The sequence below is a fragment of the Homo sapiens genome, chromosome 4, assembly GCF_000001405.40.
Source record: "Homo sapiens chromosome 4, GRCh38.p14 Primary Assembly".
NCBI classification, from domain to species: Eukaryota; Metazoa; Chordata; class Mammalia; order Primates; family Hominidae; genus Homo; species Homo sapiens.
The window spans coordinates 151,122,658-151,141,883 of NC_000004.12; the positions used below are offsets into that span (position 1 = coordinate 151,122,658).

The window sequence follows — 19,226 nt, forward strand, 5'->3', positions numbered from 1 at the left end:
CAACTCATTAGGGCCATCAAGGGAGGGCCTCACTGAAGGTGTCATATAGGCAAAGATTTGGAGATGAGAAAGTGAGTCATGTGCTTCCTGTATGCCTTGTCTTATTCTGTGTACTTCACAGGAACTAACTCTTATGTAAACACCACCAAAGTCCTAGAGATGAGTACTATGTTATCCTCATTTTAGAGACTTTTTTTTTTTTTTTTTTTTTTGAGACGGAGTCTCGCTCTGTCACCCAGGCTGGAGTGCAATGGTGCAATCTCGGCTCACTGCAACCTCTGCCTCCCGGGTTCAAACAATTCTCCTGCCTTAGCCTCCCGAGCAGCTGGGGTTACAGGTGCCTGCCACCACGTCCAGCTATTTTTTGTATTTTTAGTAGAGACAGGGTTTCACCATGTTGGCCAGGCTGGTCTCAAACTCCTGACCTTGTGATCCGCCCACCTTGGCCTCACAAAGTGTTGGGGTTACAGGCGTGAGCCACTGCCCCTGGCTGAGATATATTTTTATAGATTTCCTTATTTTAGTGAAAAAGAAACCAAAACTCAGATAGACTACATAACTTGCCAGTGTCGCATGTCTAGTTAGTGGTAGAACCAGGATTCAAATCTAGTGCAATTCCTGGGCTTATATTCCTAACCACTAGGCTATGTGGCCGCCAGATTTTACAATGGACCTTTTTACTTAGAAAGGCTTTTACTGTAATTGCCTTTTATCAACACCCAGAGCATTTTGCACTCTACATTTATTCTTGCACATAATGGCATTTCTCCTCTACCATCTGGTTTATCACATTCCTCCTATGGCCCCAGTATCTTTTGTTTTTGAGACAAAGTCTCGCTCTGTGGCCCAGGCTGGAGTGCAGTGGCACGATCTCGGCTCACTGCAACCTCTGCCTCCCAGGTTCAAGTGATTCTCCTGCCATGGCCTCAATATCAAATTTGCATTTTTTTCCCATCTTAAAGAGCTTCACCTTGACTCAGGACACTGTTTTATCTTCATCAGGTTAGTCAAAGGGGCTGTGTGTCTTATTCATGTGCAAATTAGAATTCCTTCAGCAGATGAAGACATAACTATTTTGTTCTTTATAGTTTCTAAACATTTCTTAGAATCTGTGTTTAAGATGCTACAATGGTCCCAGATGACTCTGGCTACTGTTAAGACTACCTTTATTGGGCTAAATGAATTTATTTGTAGCCCTAGTACATTACCCTCTGGAAAAAAAAATGGCTTGATTTAAGGCTTTTCTTTATGGAAAATGAAAAGGAAACATGCAATCAGATGTTATTAATTTACTCTGCTCTGCTAAAATCTGTAAAAATTCTGGCAATTCAAAGTTTTTGTTATAAATAAGTTCCTTCTGGTTCCTAAATTATAATTTAATAGTTAACTGAAGCTATTTTATTTAGGTCTGGTCCAAACCTACATACCATGTCAGTTTCCTGAGGGCTAGGACTATTTTTTTTTTTTAGATGGAGTTTTGCTCTTGTTGCCCCGGCTGGAGTGCAATGGCAAGATCTCGGCTCACTGCAACCTCCGCCTCCCAGGTTCAAGAGATTCTCCTGCCTCAGCCTCCTGAGTAGCTGGGACTACAGGTATGCACCACCACACCTGGCTAATTTTGTATTTTTTAGCAGAGACAGGGTTTCTCCATGTTGGTCAGGCTGGTCTTGAACTCCCGACCTCAGGTGATCCACTCACCTTGGCCTCCCAAAGTGCTGGGATTACAGCCGTGAGCCACTGCACCCAGCCAGGCTAGGGCTATTTTCAAAAATTAGTTTTGGCCGGGTGCAGTGGCTCACTCCTGTAATCCTAACACTTTGGGAGGCCAAGGCAGGTGGATTTTCTGAGCTCAGGAGTTCAAGACCAGCCCGGCAACACAGTGAAACCCTGTCTCTACTAAAATACAAAAAATTAGCTGGGCATGGTGGCATGCACCTGTAGTCCCAGCTACTCAGGAGGCTGAGGCGGGAGAATTGCTGGAATCCAGGAGGCGGAGGTTGCAGTGAGCCGAGATCGCGCCGCTGACTGCACTCCAGCCTGGGCAGCAGAACAAGACTCCTTCTCTAAAAAAAAAAAAATTAGTTTTATCTATTAACATTCTGTGGATATTTAATAAAACTGAAAGCAGTGCAGAATCCCTTAACAACAACAATAACAACAACAATTCTAACAATTCTAGAACTATCTTATGGACAACCATTTGTAAAATGAAATGAAGATAACCTGTTTTCTGGAGGATACTGTGCATTCTGTTATTTATACTCACATAGTTTAAATGAAGACCAAAATAACATCCAAGAAGTTTGAATTCAGATTCTTCACTTGCAGTAAGTTTATGTAAAGATAAACGGGATACATTTTGAGCCACTGACTCTCAAGGACTAAGGCAACAGTTTTCTTTCTTTCTTTCTTTCTTTTTTAAATTTTGTTTTAAAGACCAAGATGTTAAAGGAAAAAAAGGGAACTGATAGAAGGTTACGAGTTTTTAATTTTGCATAGCTTACAGCATAAGAAATACCTATCATTTATGGCTGGGTGTGGTGACTTATGCCTGTAACCCAGCTCTTTGGGAGGTTGGGGCGGATGGATCGCCTTGAGCTCATGAGTTTGAGACCAGCCTGGGTGAGACCCAGTCTCTACAAAGAATACCAAAAATTAGCCAGGCATTGGTGGCTCACACCTGTAGTCCCAGCTACTCAGGGAGCTGAGGGGTGGAGAATCGCTTGAGCCCAGGAAGCTGAGGCTGCACAGTGAACTGAGATTGTGTCACTGCACCTCAGCCTGGGCAACAGAGTGAGACCCTGTCTCAGAAACAAAACAAAACAAAACAAAACCAAAAAAAAAAAAAAAGAAAGAAAGAAAGAAAGGAAGGAAAGGAAAGAAGGGAAAGAAAGGAAAGAAAGAAAGAGAGAGAGGCCGGGCATGGTGGCTCACACCTGTAACCCCAGCACTTTTGGAGGCTGAGGCAGGCAGATCACGAGGTCAGGAGTTTGATTCCAGCCTGGCCAGTATGGTGAAACCCCGTCTCTGCTAAAAATACAAAAATTAGTCAGGTGTGGTGGTGTGTGCCTGTAGTCCCAGCTACTTGGGAGGCTGAGGCAGAAGAATTGCTTGAACCCAGGAGGCAGACCGAGATCATGCCACTGCAATCCAGCCTGGGCGACAGAGCGAGACTCCATCTCAAAAACAAAAAAAAAAAAAAAAAAAAAGAAAGGAAGGAAGAATAAGAAATATCTATTATTTGCTAACAATATATTATAACAGAAATGACATTTAATACAAAAAGATGAAATAACATTTTATTATTCAGAATAAAGTAAAACCCCATCACAAAATAGGAAGTTAGCAACTTTATGGTGACATATTTCAGTCAAGGCATCCCCCCTTACCCCGACAAAGGCTGCACATACCTGATTCAGGTATTGCCTTGTTTTCCTCTTTTTCTTTGTTGAGATGGGGTCTTGCCATGTTGACCAGGCTGGTTTTAAACTCCTGGCCTCAAGCGATCCTCCTGCCTTGACTTCCCAAAAGTGTTGGGATTAGAGGTGTGAGCCACTGTTGCTCGGCCTTTTTCTCATCTTGTTGCAGACAAGTGAAAACCCTGTTTGGTTGTCCACTGTTTTAAACCACACCTTGTCCAATCATTCCTTGATATGTTAATTCTTTCTATGGCATCCTTTCCTCTGACTGAATATCTTCAATGACAGAGAATTTACCACTGCCTGACACAGGCTATTTTGACAGCAGTGACTACTAAAACCACCCTCCTTCTTCTAGCACTGTTCCCAAAGTGCTTTCCTCTGACTATGGTCCAGTTGTGGATTAGGGAAATAGAATCATGAAAATATCTACTTTTGGCCGGGCGCGGTGGCTCACGCCTGTAATCCCAGCACTTTTGGAGGCTGAGGTGGGCGGATCACCAGGTCAGGAGATCAAGACCATCTTCACTAACATGGTGAAACCTCGTCTCTACTAAAAAAAATACAAAAAAATTAGCTGGGCATGGTGGCGGGCACCTGTAGTCCCAGCTACTCGGGAGGCTGAGGCAGGAGAATGGCGTGAACCGGGAGGTGGAGCTTGCAGTGAGCCGAGATCGCCCCACTGCACTCCAGCCTGGGTGACAGAGCGAGACTCTGTCTCAAAAAAGAAAAAAAAAAAAAAGAAAAGAAAATATCTACTTTTACTTTAAGAAGAAATTAGGCATTTCTTCGGTGAAAAAAAAAAAAAAAAAAACCTTTGCAAACTAGCTCAACCTTTTGGGACTATTTCCCCAAACCTCTGGTCATTGCCTTTGTGGACAAGAGTGCAGTGGTGCAATCTCGGCTCACTGCAAGCTCCACCTCCCGGGTTCATGCCATTCTCCTGCCTCAGCCTCCTCAGTAGCTGGGATTACAGGCGCCTGCCACCATGCCCAGCTAATTTTTTTGTATTTTTTAGTAGAGACGGGGTTTCACCGTGTTAGCCAGGATGGTCTCGATCTCCTGACCTCGTGATCCCCCCACCTCGGCCTCCCAAAGGAATTTAGTGTCTTATGAGGCTACTATGCTACTAGTGCAAATTGTAGCAGGTGCTATCTGATTCTCCATCAATTTCAAAGACACATCAATGGCAGGCTTGCAGGGCCATGTAGACAGTCATCTGTTACCAGGGCTACTAATAAAAACCCTAATATTACTGAGATCTGATGACCTAAGACCAAGGAACAGGGATTACTTTGGGGATGTATGGGGGTGTAAAGCCAAGGTTTTCTCTAAGTACATTAATGCCTGGTTGATACTGTAAATTAACAGGCCTATTTGCACTGTTCACTTTCTCTAATGTCTTCCCCTAGAATCAGGGCCTGAGATCTCTTCATTCTTGAGTAATGATTAATATTCCACCCAAATGTTCCATCCTTCAATGGAAAACATTTAAAAAATTATAGTGCTTAATGCAGTTATGAAGAGATACACATTCTGACCTTGAAGGAAAGTTCATCTTCATTCTCCCCTCGGAAATCATATAAGGCTTTGGCCTTCCTCCCCTTCGGTACTATGGCCAACATACTTTTTGCCTCAGCTGTGAAGACATAAAAAATTTAAATATATAGAAACACAGTGGACTAAAACACAAATCTAACATTTTTTAAAAAAAAACGCTTATCGCTCTAAAAACACAGTATCTTCTCTTCAGAGGTAGTGATATTAGGCAAAGAAAAACATTTTTAAAAACATGTTCAATTAATTTTGAACTTATTTAACTTTCAAAAAGATGAACAATGTTCTTTTAGCAGGGAAAAATTACGTAAACTATATTTATTAGATGGAATTAGCCATTATTTAGTGAAGACATTATCTTTTTTTTCTATAACTCTAACAAAGCATATGAATGAAGTTTGCATAACTTCATGTATCAGCTCTTTCAAATATAGACAGACAAACTGAGCATGGCCAGAGGGGAAAGGAATGTATATAGTTTTGAAGGTTTCAGGCTCCCCGTGAGGAGTCGCATTCATGTCTTGCGGTTGTCATACCTGGGCAGGGCCTCACAAACACTGCTGGGAAGATCCCCTCCCTGTCCTGCAGTCTGCCCCTGCACCAGTCAGAATCCAGACGTTCCAGAATCTGGATCCGGTCTCCCCTCTTGAATGATAAGTCATCACTGGTCTCTGCTGTAAAACTGTGAAGAGCTTCACACCATTCTGCCGGAAGACTGTTAACCTGTTATCAAATTAGAGGTGTGGTCAGAAGTGTAAGATTTTATTTGAAATTGAGTTCTACAAAGCTTAAAAAGTAGTGGGGAAAAAAAAACTAAGGGGTCTTAAGATTTCAAAGCCTGAAGGCTTCTTTAAATTATCTAATACTTTATGTTGCTATCAAGTTTCAGAAGTAAAAGTTTCCAATAATTTTTTCTTAAATTATAACTCTAAATGACAAGTGTGATAGAATTTGTGGCTTTTCTGCTTTTAAGGGATATACAAAGCTTAAGCAAACACTTTTTTACTTTCTTTATTTTCTTTTCTGAGCCAAGTTCTTACTTAGTAACCCAGGATGGAGTACAGTGGCAGAATCATAGCTCACTGCAGCCTTGACTTCCTGGGCTCAGGCAATCCTCCCTCCTCAGCCTCCCGAGTAGCTGGGACTACAGGTGCAGCCACCACACTCGGCTATTTAATTTTATTTTATTTTTGCAGAAATGAAGTCTCACTATGTTGCCCAGGCTGGTCTTGAACTCTTGGCTCAAGTGATCCTCCCACCCTCCCAAACTTCTGGGATTACAGGCATGATCCACCTCACTCAGCCAAAAAACTTTTTTCTTAATATGACCTATTATATTGTTATATTAAAGAATTAGGTAAAAGCATAAAATATTTATGCATAGTATTTGACACTATGAAAAAATTCTGATAAAGTATGTAATTATCAGTGAAGCTCTTCTTTATTTAAATTAGGAAGGATCAGAATGGGTTGGTCTATGAATTCCCAGGTCTTTACTTGATTCAGAGACAATTAGAGTCCATAGCACAGAACTTCATCAATTCACACTTTTAATTTTATGAGCTGTAGTTAACTCTAAGATTGGCAGGATAACACCCAGATGTGGTGGGCTAGTGTAAGAACACTTTTATCCCAGGCACATTAGAGAAAGGTTTTGCTCTGTGAAGAGGCAGCTCTGCCAATTTGGGATGGGAACCCTATGTTCAAGAGGCTCAAGAAGGCAGTAGAGGATAATGAAAAGGCTTTTTTCTTTCGAGATGGAGTCTCGCTCTGTTGCCCAGGCTGAAGGGCAATGATGCAATCTTGGCTCAATGCAACCTCTGCCTCCCGGGTTCAAGCAATTCTCCTGCCTCAGCCTCCCGATTAGCTAGGACTACAGGTGCACACCACCACACCCAGCTAATTTTTGTATTTTTAGTAGAGACGGGGTTTCACCATGTTGGCCAGGCTGGTCTCGAACTCCTGGCCTGAAGCGATCCACCTGCCTTGGCCTCCCAAGGTGCTGGGATTACAGGAGTGAGCCTCAGCGCCTGGCCGGGACAAAGGCTTTGGAGCTACACAGGCAAGGTTTCCAGACCCAGTTCTGCCACTTCTTAACTTCGTGACACTGGGCAAGACGCTTCTCTTCTCTGAGGCTCAGCTTCATCTTGGGGTTACTAAGAGGATTAAATGAGACAATGCATGTCTAACATTTAGCCCAGTGCCTGGCACATCTTAAGTGCTCAATAACTGATGGCTTATAAAACAAAAACAAAAAGCAAGCAAACAACACTAACCCCCTCTTGCTCCTGCACTTGAGTAACCAACCCTAAAGGATGGAACTTATCATTCTCCAAAAATGCAGGCAACAACCATGTGAACATTTCCTTTTGGAGAACTGTAGTCAGTTTCCTTCCTGTTTCACTTTATCAGTGGGTAGGGATAAAGAATTAAGGGACACACAGGCCAATTACAAGTGACATTTTCACAAACACAATGATCCCATCAGGCTTAACTCTTCTAAATTTGTCACAAAAAACAATGGAAGGCCGGATGTGGTGGATCACCCCTGTAATCCTAGTACCTTGGGAGGCTGAGGCAGGTGGAGCGCTTGAGCCCAGGATTTTGAGACCAGCCTGGGCAACAAAATGAGACCCTGTCTACAAAAAATACAAAAATTAGCTGGGAGTGGTGGTGTGTGCCTGTCATCCCAGCTACTTAGGAGGCTGAGGTGGATTGCTTGAGCCTGGGAAGCAGAGGTTGCAGTGAGCTGAGACCTCGACACTGCACTTAGCCTGGGCATCAGAGTGAGATCCTGTCTCAAAAAAACAAAACAAAACAAAACAAAAAAACCAAAATAAAACCAAAAACAACAAAAAACTAAAAACAACAGAAGGCACCACATTCCTAGTACCTTTAAGCATTTCTGGGGTCATGCTGAACAGTGTAAAAATTTTAACCCACTATTTTTCTCTTTCTCATTATACAAATGAAACAAATGTTCCTAAATATTTGGAAAGTTGAGAAACGTATAAAGAAATGGAGAAGGCCAGGCGCAGTGGCTCATGCCAGTAATCCCAGCACTTAGGGAGGCCGAGGTGGGTGGATCACGAGGTCAGGAGTTCAAGACCAGCCTGGCCAAGACGGTAAAACCCCGTTTCTGCTAAAACTACAAAAATTAGCGAAGCACAGTGGCAGGCACCTGTAAACCCAGCTTACTCAGGAGGTTGAGTCAGGAGAATCACTTGAAGCCGGCAGCAGAGGTTGCAGTGAGCCAAGACTGCGCCACTGCACTCCAGCCTGGGCGACGGAGTAAGACTCCGTCTCAAAAAAAAGAAAAAAAAAAAAGAAGTGGGGGAAAAAAACCTACCCGTATATATAATCTCACTACCTAGATGCAATTTAATACTAGTAACTTGAATAATTTCCTTCCAGTCTTTTTATGCTATATATTCAATTTTATATCCCCTTTCCCTATGTTTCCTCTCATGACATTTAAAAACATTATTTTATTTGATAAATCTAGTTTTTCATAGCTTTAGAATATTCTCCCAATAATGGTCATATTTAGGTTGTTTCCAATTTTTTCTTATTATATTAGCACTATGCTCATCTTTGTGACTAAAACCCTATCTCATTTTTTATCCTTTTCTTAGGGTGACAAATAAGAATGTGTACTTTCTCTCTTTTTTTTTTAACACTCACATGCTTATAATTGCTTGTTTAGTGCTGAGCTGCACTGAATCTTTGTTAACTGAATAGGTTAAATGGTATTTTATTGCTGCTTTATTATATATTTTCTTGATTATTAGAAAGGTTAAATATTTTTTCAATATTAGCCACTTATGGTATCTCTTTTATGAATTCTTTTTTTCTTTTTTTCTTTTTTTTTGAGGCAGAGTCTTGCTCTGTCTCCCAGGCGGGAGTGCAGTGGCGCAATCTTGGCTCACTGCAAACTCTGCCCCCCGGGTTCACGCCATTCCCCTGCCTCAGCCTCCTGAGTAGCTGGGAATACGCGCGCTGGTCACCACACCCGGCTGATTTTTTTTGTATTTTTAGTAGAGACGGGGTTTCACCGTGTTAGCCAGGGTGGTCTCGATCCCCTGACCTCATGATCCGCCCGCCTCGGCTTCCCAAAGTGCTGGGATTACAGGCATGAGCCACCGCGCACAGCCTCTTTTATGAATTCTCTAATCATGTCTCTTTTATCATTTTCTTTCTTTCTTTTTTGAGATAGAGTCTCGCACTGCCACCCAGGCTGGAATGCAGTGGTGCTATCTTGGCTCACTGCAACCTCCACCGCCAGGTTCAAGCTATTTTCCTGCTTCAGCCTTCCAAGTAGCTGGGACTACAGGTGCACGCCACCATGCCTGGTTAATTTTTGTATTTTTAGTAGAGACAGGGTTTCACCATGTTGGCCAGGCTGGTCTCGAACTCCTAACCTCAGGTAATCCACCTGCCTTGGCTTCCCAAAGTGTTGGGATTACAGGCATGAGCCACTCTGCCCAGTCTCTGTTTTCATTTTCTATCAGGGTTTACATGTTTTTGTATGAGCTCTCTATATAAAATATATTAACCATCTAAGAATTTATTACAAACATTTGTTGTATGAATTGAAAAATTAATTCATACTATATTCTCTTGAAAATTATGATTTTAATATTCCTCCCAGAGTCTGAACCTGGCTGTCACTATAGTCATCTGTTCAAGCAGCCTACCTGAGAGTTTGAGCCAGAATCTTCTTTTTTGGTTTTCAGTGGTACCTTTGTGCCTACATTAAAAAAACAAACAAACACAAGAAGTCAGAACATTAGATGTGAAGGCCACATAGTATTAAAAACAAATGGTTGAGGTGGGAGGTGGGAGTGAAGACTCTGGGATTCCACTCCGGTCTCTTCATGTATTGTCTATGTTGCGTTAACCTGTACTAACTTCACTGAGCTTGTTTAGTTAATTGTAAACACAACTATTTATAGTCTATATACATTAGTAACAGTCTATAGTTCATTTCTGTTTAAAAGTCTTTGCTATTTATTTATTAGATACAGAGTCTGGCTCTGTTGCCCAGGCTGGAGTGCAGTGGTACAATCATAGCTCACTGCAGCCTTGAACTCCTGGTCTCAGGCAATCCGCCCACCGTGGCCTCTCAAAGTGTTGGAATTACAGGTCTGAGCCATCATACCCAGCCTCTTTGCCATTTCTTATATGAAGCTATTGCTAATTACCTAAAATACCAAAACCAGCTCTTTGAGAGATGCCCACAAATAATGTCTATCCCACACAAATTCCCATTTTAAAATCAGTTTTCCTTCTACCGTAAAAATATGGCAATATGGATTATTATACAGCTTAAGTATAATGATATTATTTGGTTTATTTGAATTAGGACATAACATAATAAAAAAAATTCTCTATACTCACTTAAAACATTTGCACCAGAGGTGGGATAATCCTCAACAGGCTCCACAAAGTTCAGGGGGAAAATCCCAGTTCTGCCTCGAACTTCTCCTCTGGCCCATTCCTCATTCACATACTCTTTAAGAATAATAATTTCTCCCTCTGAGAAACTCAACTCATCCTTCTGCTCTCCAATATATTCAAACCGAGCAACACATCTTGAGCCTCTGAATGAAGAACACATTTTGTGGATTAGACTAGAGAGTGCTTTTAAAATGCTTAAAAACCTTCATTCAGTCTTTCAATAAATATTTATTCTGGGTTTACCATGGAATAAGGTATACTAGGCTAATTTGAAATTATTCCATGAAAAAGAGTAAGTTACACTTTTAAGTAACAGATATGAACCTATTCACTCAGAAAGGCTGAAGCTCAAGGTCGCGGAGTGCACGCAGCTGGGTGGTTAGTTTACCCTGCTGTGTCTTTTGATCTTCTTACTCCCCAGTCTCCGTATGTTTGTATCCTTGGGCCACAGCAATCCGTGGTCCAGTCTGAACCCTTCCAATCATAAATGCACTGAGTTGAGGAGTGCTAACCCTGAGAATCTCAGGGCAATTAATCAAATTTTCTGACTACTAATCAGGGCAGAATGCAATGGGCATCAGCTGGGCAAAGTTGATGTTCAATAGATGCTCAATTAATCAGTGAGCTGGCCTTAAAAACTAGGAGGTTTAAAGAAAACAGAAACTTGGCATATCATAACACACAGTCTTGGAACTAACCCTGTTGCCTTTAAAAATGATTTTTTTAATCTCCTTTAAAAGGGCTTCATTTCTGACATTTGGAACAATCCTTACATGATCTGCAATTTTGACTGAAAATAAGATAAAAGCAGAGATAAAATTGTGTCTCTAGAAGGTGTGCTTTAATACTAATCCCTAGATTTGAGGGTTTAGAAAGGAAGTTTCAATAGCAACAGGCTAAGGAGAAGCAATTGCCTAAAAAGAAAAGGTTGATTCTAGCTTTAATAGAATTCTGATTTAAGTCAGATCAATGGGTCAATGACTGTAAAAGCCCACTTCGAATTCAACCTGCTGAGACACAGTATATGCTGCTTAAAAATAGAGAAAAACTGAATCTGAAATAGAATTCAACTATTGTGGATCAGAAGTTTTCTTATTTGTGATAACCTTTGCATTTGTTTTCTAAAGTCCTCTGGGAGCATCTGCTTATGTCTGACCTATTCATAGACAGGTTTACAGTCTTCAGCAGGTAATGAATTCTATTAATTTGCTCATTTAACTAGAATATAAAGTTGCATTGTGGCAGTGCTTTAAATCACAAAGGAGTTACAATGACACATAAAAGGGTATATAAATTCAGGGAAACGTCCTCAGAGATAAAGGAAAACCCCTTCAACTTAACTCTTCCTTCACTTTCTTCTAGTTCCTCTTAAAAACAAAAACATACAAAATGTCTAGCAGTTATTGTAGGATTCATATTTCTATAGGATTTAATTATTTCTCATGACAAAAATACTTGAACCTTCTAAAAACTGGGTGAACACCAGATGGCCAAAATAAAATGCAGTAAATGATGAAACTATCTCTGCTCATGCTGAGACCAGGCTGCAGGAAGCACTGGCATAGACTGTCTTTGCTGCTTTCTTTATGTCCTGCACTGATGTTGGAGAGTTGCTTAGGTAAGCTTCTATCAGCAGGTTCATGATGTATTTTCATCAGAATTTTAACCCATTGTCACCTTTTAAACAAGTTTTCTTTGTAATTAAAAAGACACGATGAGAATCTGAATTATCACCATATGAAGTGTTTTCTTTTAAAATAAAGAATAAATAAATAATAGAGATGGGTTCTTGCTATGTGGCCCAGGTTAGTCTTGAACTCCTGGCATCAAGCAATCCTCCCACCTCAGCCTCCCAAAGTACTGGGATACAGGTCTGAGCCACCATGCCTGGCCTTGGAGTGTTTTAAGCTTGATAATTCTTCATGATATAGATGGTTATCTCCTTTGTATTTTGTGTAAAAGAACACAAATAAAACTTACTTAACACAATGAGATGAAACACATTCTCTTTTCCCATTTCCTCCTTCTGGGATATCAATCTAGCAAAGATAAAATCAAGGCAACAATTATATTTTTTTCAGATTTTCATAAGATAAATTTAAGGTTAAGTAATTAGAAAGTACATGACTGAAATCGATCGGTTTAGCTAGGTGTTAATCTGATTAAGAGGAACTACAGGTGCTAAATGGTAAAACAAATCCTGAATTTGGATTAAAAAAAAAGTGTAACTTGTGAAGTAGCCTTCCTTGAGTAGCCAATCAATTCTCTTATTTACTGGAATAACCACATTAATATCACTCTAATTCTGACTGAATTTTCTCTATCTCATTTTTTTTTTTTTTTTTTTTTTTTGAGACAGGATCTTACTCTGTCACCCAGGCTGGAGTGCAGCGGCACAATCAGAACTCACTGCAGCCTTGACCTCCCAGCCTCAAGTGATCCTCTTGCTTTAGCCCCACAAGTAGCTGGGACTACCGGTGTGCACCACCACACCCGGCAAATTTTTGTATTTTTAGTAGAGACAGGGTTTCACCATTGTTGCCTGGGCTGGTCTTGAACTCTTGGACTCAAGCAATCTGCCTGCCTTAGCCTCCCAAAGTGCTGGTATTATAGGTGTGAGCTGCCGCACCCTGCCAGCTCTATACCATATTTTCCAGGTTGAAAACTGCAGCTGAGAAGGACTTAACATAGAAATCAGGCATTAGCCCTGCCACACCTACTCCAAGTGTTGGTAGAATCCTGCAATGCTTCTCTGACCCCAAGATAAAACATTTCAATAAAACTTTGGATTCTCGGGCTGAGCACAGTGGCTCACGCCTGTAATTCCAGCACTCTGGGAGGATCAGGAGTTCGAGACTAGTCCGGCCCGGGTGACAACAGCGAGACTGTCTCAAAAACAAAACAAAACAAAACAAAACAAAACAAAACAAAACAAAACAAAAACAACTTGTGGATTCTCTTCACATTTATAACTGAAATATTTTCCCCCTTCAACATGAATAGGGAAGAAAGGAATCTGTATTTAGCAAACTAAGTGGCAACACTTTGTTTTATTTTATTTATTTATTTTTTGAGACAGGGTCTCACTCTGTTGCCCAGGCTGGAGTGCAGTGGCGTGATCATGGCTCACTGCAGCCTTGCCCTCCCATGCTCACACCATCCTCCCACTTCAGCCTCCCAAGTAGCTGGGACTACACACGCGTAACACCATGCCAAGTTAATTTTTCAATTTTTTGTGGGGACAGGGTCTCACTATGTTGCCCAGGCTGGTCTTGAACTCCTGAGCTCAAGTGATCCTACCTACTGCCTCAGCCTCCCAAAGTGTTGGGATTACAGGCATGAGCCACTGTGCCCAGCCAAGCACTTAATATAATATCTCATTTACAAGGCTCAGTAGAGGAGGGCTGGGTTGCAATAAAATATTTGGCTATAATGCATGCAATTTAAAACTACTTAAAGCTCGAGGTTTATATTAAATCAGTGCCTTCTTGAATTTTAAAGTTTTGAAGTTTTAAAACAATTTTTTAAACTTGTGGGCTTAGAAATAACACTTATACCAATAATGTGGCAGATTCTGTGTGATTGATTTCAGTGTGGTAATTGTGCTTTTTAAAGTACTGCTACATTGGGCAGAAGAAAAATGAGGAAGAGTGCTAAAACAAACATTATTCTTAATATTAATTTACAGAATGTGGTTGAATTTCTCCAAAGAATCAAGGCATAGATACACTGGACAATGTTTAATGCCTACCCTTCATAATCCAAGAGACTCAAATTCATTTCTATTTGAAGAATTCAGATTTTCTGTTAGTCTTGTTTTCTAATATTCTGATGTAATGGAATTTATTTACTTTTTCCTTCCAAATAAGCTGTTAATGCTGTTAAGCTAAATTTATTGATATTTCACAGTATCAGTAAGTTATATCAGGGACCGAGTCATCCTATTCCAATTGATACAAATGTGTGAGGGCAGTCTGATTTTATCCCCATGTTTCACACAGCCATCTGGGCTTACACACAGCTCTCACACATAGGAATGCTTTCACAAGTTAGGCCGTGAGGGTATAAAAATTCTGGTGCTTTAATATAATTTTCCTAATCAGATTAGAAATTATTTTGTGGGTACAACCATTAATGAACCACTATCTCCAATATAAATACTTCTGTATTCCCAAATAAATTTTTTTTTAAAGATGGAGATAAATAAGAATGGAAAAGATGAAAGAAACTCAAACCAAAATGTACTCCAAAGAAAAGAAGTGGTACCATAACCTCAGAGAACATCTCTACAGGATAAGCTAGTATCACTGAATTCATGTTCACTAAATGTCTCAAAGAATTACCATATATCCTTAAGTGCTTAACAACTCTCCAAGAACAGCTGATTCACCAGTTGACCTGTGGTGGTCTTTCACTTTAGGATTTCAGACAGCATTTAGGCATTAAGTTCTAACACTCCATAATATAATAATTAACCATCACCTAGTTGACCAAATCTTTATTTTTGAATTTTCCAAATGCCAAATGAATCAATGAAAGAGAACTAGAATCTGGGTTTCTAGTTATTTTTTCCAACCTACAAGTCACATAGAACCCACTGAGTATATGACCAAATTAAAACAAACACAACCCACTTACAATCACTTTGACATAGTTGGCAGGAAATATGCCAATCTGGTTTCTACAGTTCCCTCTGTACCAATCTGTATCTATCTTCTCCAGAAGATAAACAATTTCTCCAGAAGTGAGGTTCAAATCATCAACTTGCTCTGTAATATAAAATTATAGTTATGTATGATGAATCATCCTGGTTGCAGATTTGATAAAAGCACAAAGTAGCATTTAGTTGTGTCCACTGAGGCAGTTATGTTCCACTGATTCTGAGAACAGATTATACTAATCAAATTGACTTAAAAAATGCTATTCTTTTTTTGGACATTGTTATGAGCTCCCTTTTTAAAGACCAAATTAGACACATTTACCATGCTTTGATTGATGGGAAATGGTTGAAAAAAACACTATTGTGTTAGCAAATGTTTCCTACTGTGCCAATATAAAGCCGTGCTGAATACACACTGAACAATGAAAAAAGTTTATAGACATGGTATAATATTATTATTCTCAATTATGCTTAAAAATCATTTTAATTTCAAATATTAACTAAGGGAGTACTACAACTCTTTAGCAAATAAGTTTACCCATACCAAAACAAAAATCAGCCTATCAAGTGGATAAAAAGAGATTGTAAGTAAATCAGGAGTTTATTTGTAGCCTTGGATATGAAGGGCATTTTAAAAATTATTACAAAAGTACTTATATTGTGCGTGGGCATGGGTGGCTCATGCCTGTTATCTCAGCACTTTAAGAAGCTAAGGTGGGAGGATCACTTGAGGCCAGGAGTTCAAGACCAGCCTGGGCAACATAGCGAGACCATGTCCCTAGGAAAAAAAAAAATTAGCCAGGTGTAGTGGCACCCCTGTAGTCCTAGCTACTGGGGAAGCTGAGGGAGGAGGATCACTTGAGTCCAGGAGTTCAAGGTTATAGTGATTGCACCACTGCACTCAAGCCTAGGCGACAGAGCAAGATCTTGTCTCACACACACACACACACACACACACACACACACACACACACACACACAAATTACTTTGATCTCATAGGTAAGTAAGCAGCTGAGACAACTTTGAAGACAAAAGAACTTCAGTTATTAAGTTAGGATTAACTTTATTACAATTTTTTTGTTGTTGTTGTTTTTTGAGACGGGGTTTTGCTCTTGTTGCCCAGGGTGCAACGGCACAATCTTAGCTCATTGCAACCTCTGCCTCCCAGGTTCAAGTGATTCTCCTGACTCAGCCTCCCAAGTAGCTGGGATTACAGGCATGCGTCACCATGCCCGGCTACTTTTTTGTATTTATAGAGACGGGGTTTCAACATGTTGGTCAGACTGGTCTGGACTCCTGACCTCAGGTGATCCATCCGCCTCGGCCTCACAAAGTGCTGGGATTACAGGTGTAAGCCACTGTGCCCAGCCATATTACAATTGTTAATTAGTACCCACTATTTTTTTTTTTCTTTTTTGAGACGGAGTCTCGCTCTGTCCCTCGGGCCGGAGTGCAGTGGCGCGATCTCAGCTCACTGCAACCTCAGCCTCGCGGGTTCACGCCATTCTCCTGCCTCAGCCTCCCGAATAGCTGGACTACAGGCGCCCGCCACTACGCCCGGCTAATTTTTTGTATTTTTAGTAGAGACGGGGTTTCACCATGTTAGCCAGGATGGTCTCAATCTCCTGACCTCGTGATCCGCCTGCCTCGGCCTCCCAAAGTGCTGGGATTACAGGCGTGAGCCACTGCGCCCGGCCTAGTACCCACTATTTTGAAAGAGTTAAAAAGTTTGTGACTGGTAGGCAATTTGCAATGTTCATTTGTAAGGGAAAGTCTCTCTCTCTCTCTTTCTCTTTCTCAGGGAGCTTCAAAGGCAAGGGTATACAACTAAGCTTTCTGGAATGGCTGGTACAATCAACCCTTCTTGAAGTGGAGTCCTGGATAAGATGACCTCTCCAGTCTCGGACTCTATAGGCACAGAAAAATGAAGAAGGATGTCCTTGAGAGGCTAACCCCCGGCAGGGAAAAAGACTTACTCCTGGATCCTGTGGTTCTCCCACTGCATTATTTACATCCTTACCTGCTGGGAAATCATGAAGAACGACAGCATGAGGAGCACCACTGTCAACAGGCTTCTGAGCGTGGCTTGGATCCTTAGGGGGAGAAAAGGGCTGTGAATGAAGTGTGCAGGATAGATGGTGGATTTATTATTCACTCTGAGACCAATTTTTTTTTTCTCATTAGAGTCCTCTTGACACAATTACATTATGAGTACATGATGCAAACCACACAGTTGAGCCAAACAAGGGAATTATTATCAAGTTGAAGAAGAATGTGTCCTTGCTAAGGGAGGATGAAAATCTCAATTAAAATATCCCCCAGTATGTTTTCTTTTTGCTTTTTTAAGCTGAGAGAGTAAAACAAAAGGGAACTGTTTATTTATTTTGAAACAGTATCTATTCTACCCCAAAGTAGTGGTTTTTGACCTCTTTCCCTTTCAAGGATAGCTTTTTCCTTAAAACTGTGATCAAGACAGAGTCTTAAAAGTTGTGTCTTTATTAGGATGGGAAAAGAAGAAAGTTCTATGATTTATGCTCTTGCCTTTTGTAATGAAAGGAGCTAATGACTTTCAACAGAAGTATAATTCACAAAAAGTAAAATCCATTTCATTTATTACCACTTAACTAAGTGCTTTTTCTAATTTGAAAGCAATGCTACCTCCCATGCCTGGTCTGCATTTTGTATTTAATCTGAATGGTTTATTCAACAGTAGTTCTAAATAAATTAGCAAAAAGAATCTAACATTCTCTATCCATCTAGCCAAATGCCGAGATTGGCCAGAGGATAAGGCAAAGCTGAAGAGCGACCTCTTCTTATTGACTAGCAATTGTTATTCTTAGTTTCTTTATATCAAGAGACAGGCTTATCCTCATCATCATCAAATCCCACTGAAGGATATTATTTGGAGTTATAACTTAACACTCTTCAACACTGGCAAGCCTGTGAAATAAATAAAGGCAGATTTTTGTGCCCTTTCTTGTCTCTTCACCTCCTCTAATAACTCTTGTCCCCTTAGAGACGTCCTGACACATCTATACCTCTGCCCTTCCCCTGGCCATGATGCACCAGGCTGATTGCAGCGCACTGTGAATGATGGTCCACTTTCTCCATTTCAACCCTGCAGCACCTTTGCTGAGATCTTTTCTAAATCTCAGCTGCTCTTTCAACCAAAATGCACCTGCAGAAACAAAACTTTCATTCTCTCAAGTTAGGTAAACTGAAATATAACTTAAGACTCTAATGGCTAATGTAGCTTACTATATTAGCTTACTAAGAAGACCCTAACATTTTTTCATGGACTGCTTAATGCTTTTCTCTAAATAAATGAACAATATGGAAATTTCATGAATTCTGAGATATTTTAGGTCTGACATGGCTTTTTTTTCTTTGACACAGGGTCTTGCTCTGTCACCTAGGCTGTGGTGTAGTGGCACAATCACAGCTCACTGCAGCCTTGACCTCCAGGGGTTAAGTTATCCTCCCACTTCAGTCCCCAAAGTAGCTGGGACTACAGACAAGCACTACCATGCCTGGCTAATTTTTGTATTTTTTGTAGAGATTGGGTCTCGCCACGTTGCCCAGGCTGGTCTCAAATTCCTGGGCTCAGGTGATCCACCCATCTTGGCCTCCCAAAGTGCTGGGATTACAGGAGTGAGCCACCGTGCCCAGCCTGGAGTGGCTTTTCATAATTATTCAGCATGGACAACATAAGAAATGCCATATCTACAAAAAAATAAAAAATTAGCCTGGCATGGTGATACACCCCTGTGGTCCCAGCTATTAGGGATGCAGAGGTGTGAGGATCTCTTGAGCCCAGGAACTCGAGGCTGCAGTGAGCTATGATTGTGCCACTATACTCTGACTTGGATGACTGAGTGACTCTCTCCAAAAAAAGTTAAACAAATTAATTATTATTTATATAATGTGTTATACATGTGCATGTGTGATTTTCATTTTTTTCTGATTTACATCTGTGGAGAAAAAGGAATTACTATTCAATAAGTGTTATTAGGCTAGATGCCTATCCATTTGGAAAAAATGATGTCAGAGACCTACCACACACCAAACACAAACATGAAATCTCCAAATGGACCAGAGGCCTAAACATAAACCAGTCCTTGGAGGGAGG

General features: G+C 40.7%; 1 protein-coding gene and 1 long non-coding RNA gene across 15 annotated transcripts in view, besides 1 other annotated feature; one reads left to right on the forward strand and one right to left on the reverse strand.

Annotated features, from left to right (window-relative positions):
• The window catches only part of SH3D19 (SH3 domain containing 19), a 205,325-nt gene that overhangs the window by 2,377 nt on the left and 183,722 nt on the right, over positions 1 to 19,226 (reverse strand). For all 14 annotated transcript variants that reach the window (NM_001378131.1, NM_001378128.1, NM_001378122.1 and 11 more), the window contains 7 exons: positions 17,118 to 17,190; positions 15,075 to 15,205; positions 12,417 to 12,475; positions 10,377 to 10,579; positions 9,674 to 9,726; positions 5,513 to 5,699; positions 4,961 to 5,058 (listed from right to left, as the gene is read on the reverse strand). In NM_001378131.1, the coding sequence (NP_001365060.1) occupies positions 4,961 to 5,058; positions 5,513 to 5,699; positions 9,674 to 9,726; positions 10,377 to 10,579; positions 12,417 to 12,475; positions 15,075 to 15,205; positions 17,118 to 17,190 (804 nt within the window). The remainder of the gene's footprint in view (positions 1 to 4,960; positions 5,059 to 5,512; positions 5,700 to 9,673; positions 9,727 to 10,376; positions 10,580 to 12,416; positions 12,476 to 15,074; positions 15,206 to 17,117; positions 17,191 to 19,226) is intronic.
• Positions 1,553 to 18,437, forward strand: SH3D19-AS1 (SH3D19 antisense RNA 1). The gene is made up of 2 exons (XR_001741442.2): positions 1,553 to 1,592; positions 16,899 to 18,437. It is a non-coding gene; the product is annotated as an SH3D19 antisense RNA 1 (long non-coding RNA).
• Positions 10,640 to 10,934: an enhancer, noted in NCBI's record as "tiled region #3738; HepG2 Activating DNase matched - State 14:Gen5'". NCBI's record gives its function as "activates a minimal TATA promoter and a strong SV40 promoter by Sharpr-MPRA in HepG2 cells {active_cell/tissue: HepG2}" and the evidence as "EXISTENCE:reporter gene assay evidence [ECO:0000049][PMID:27701403]".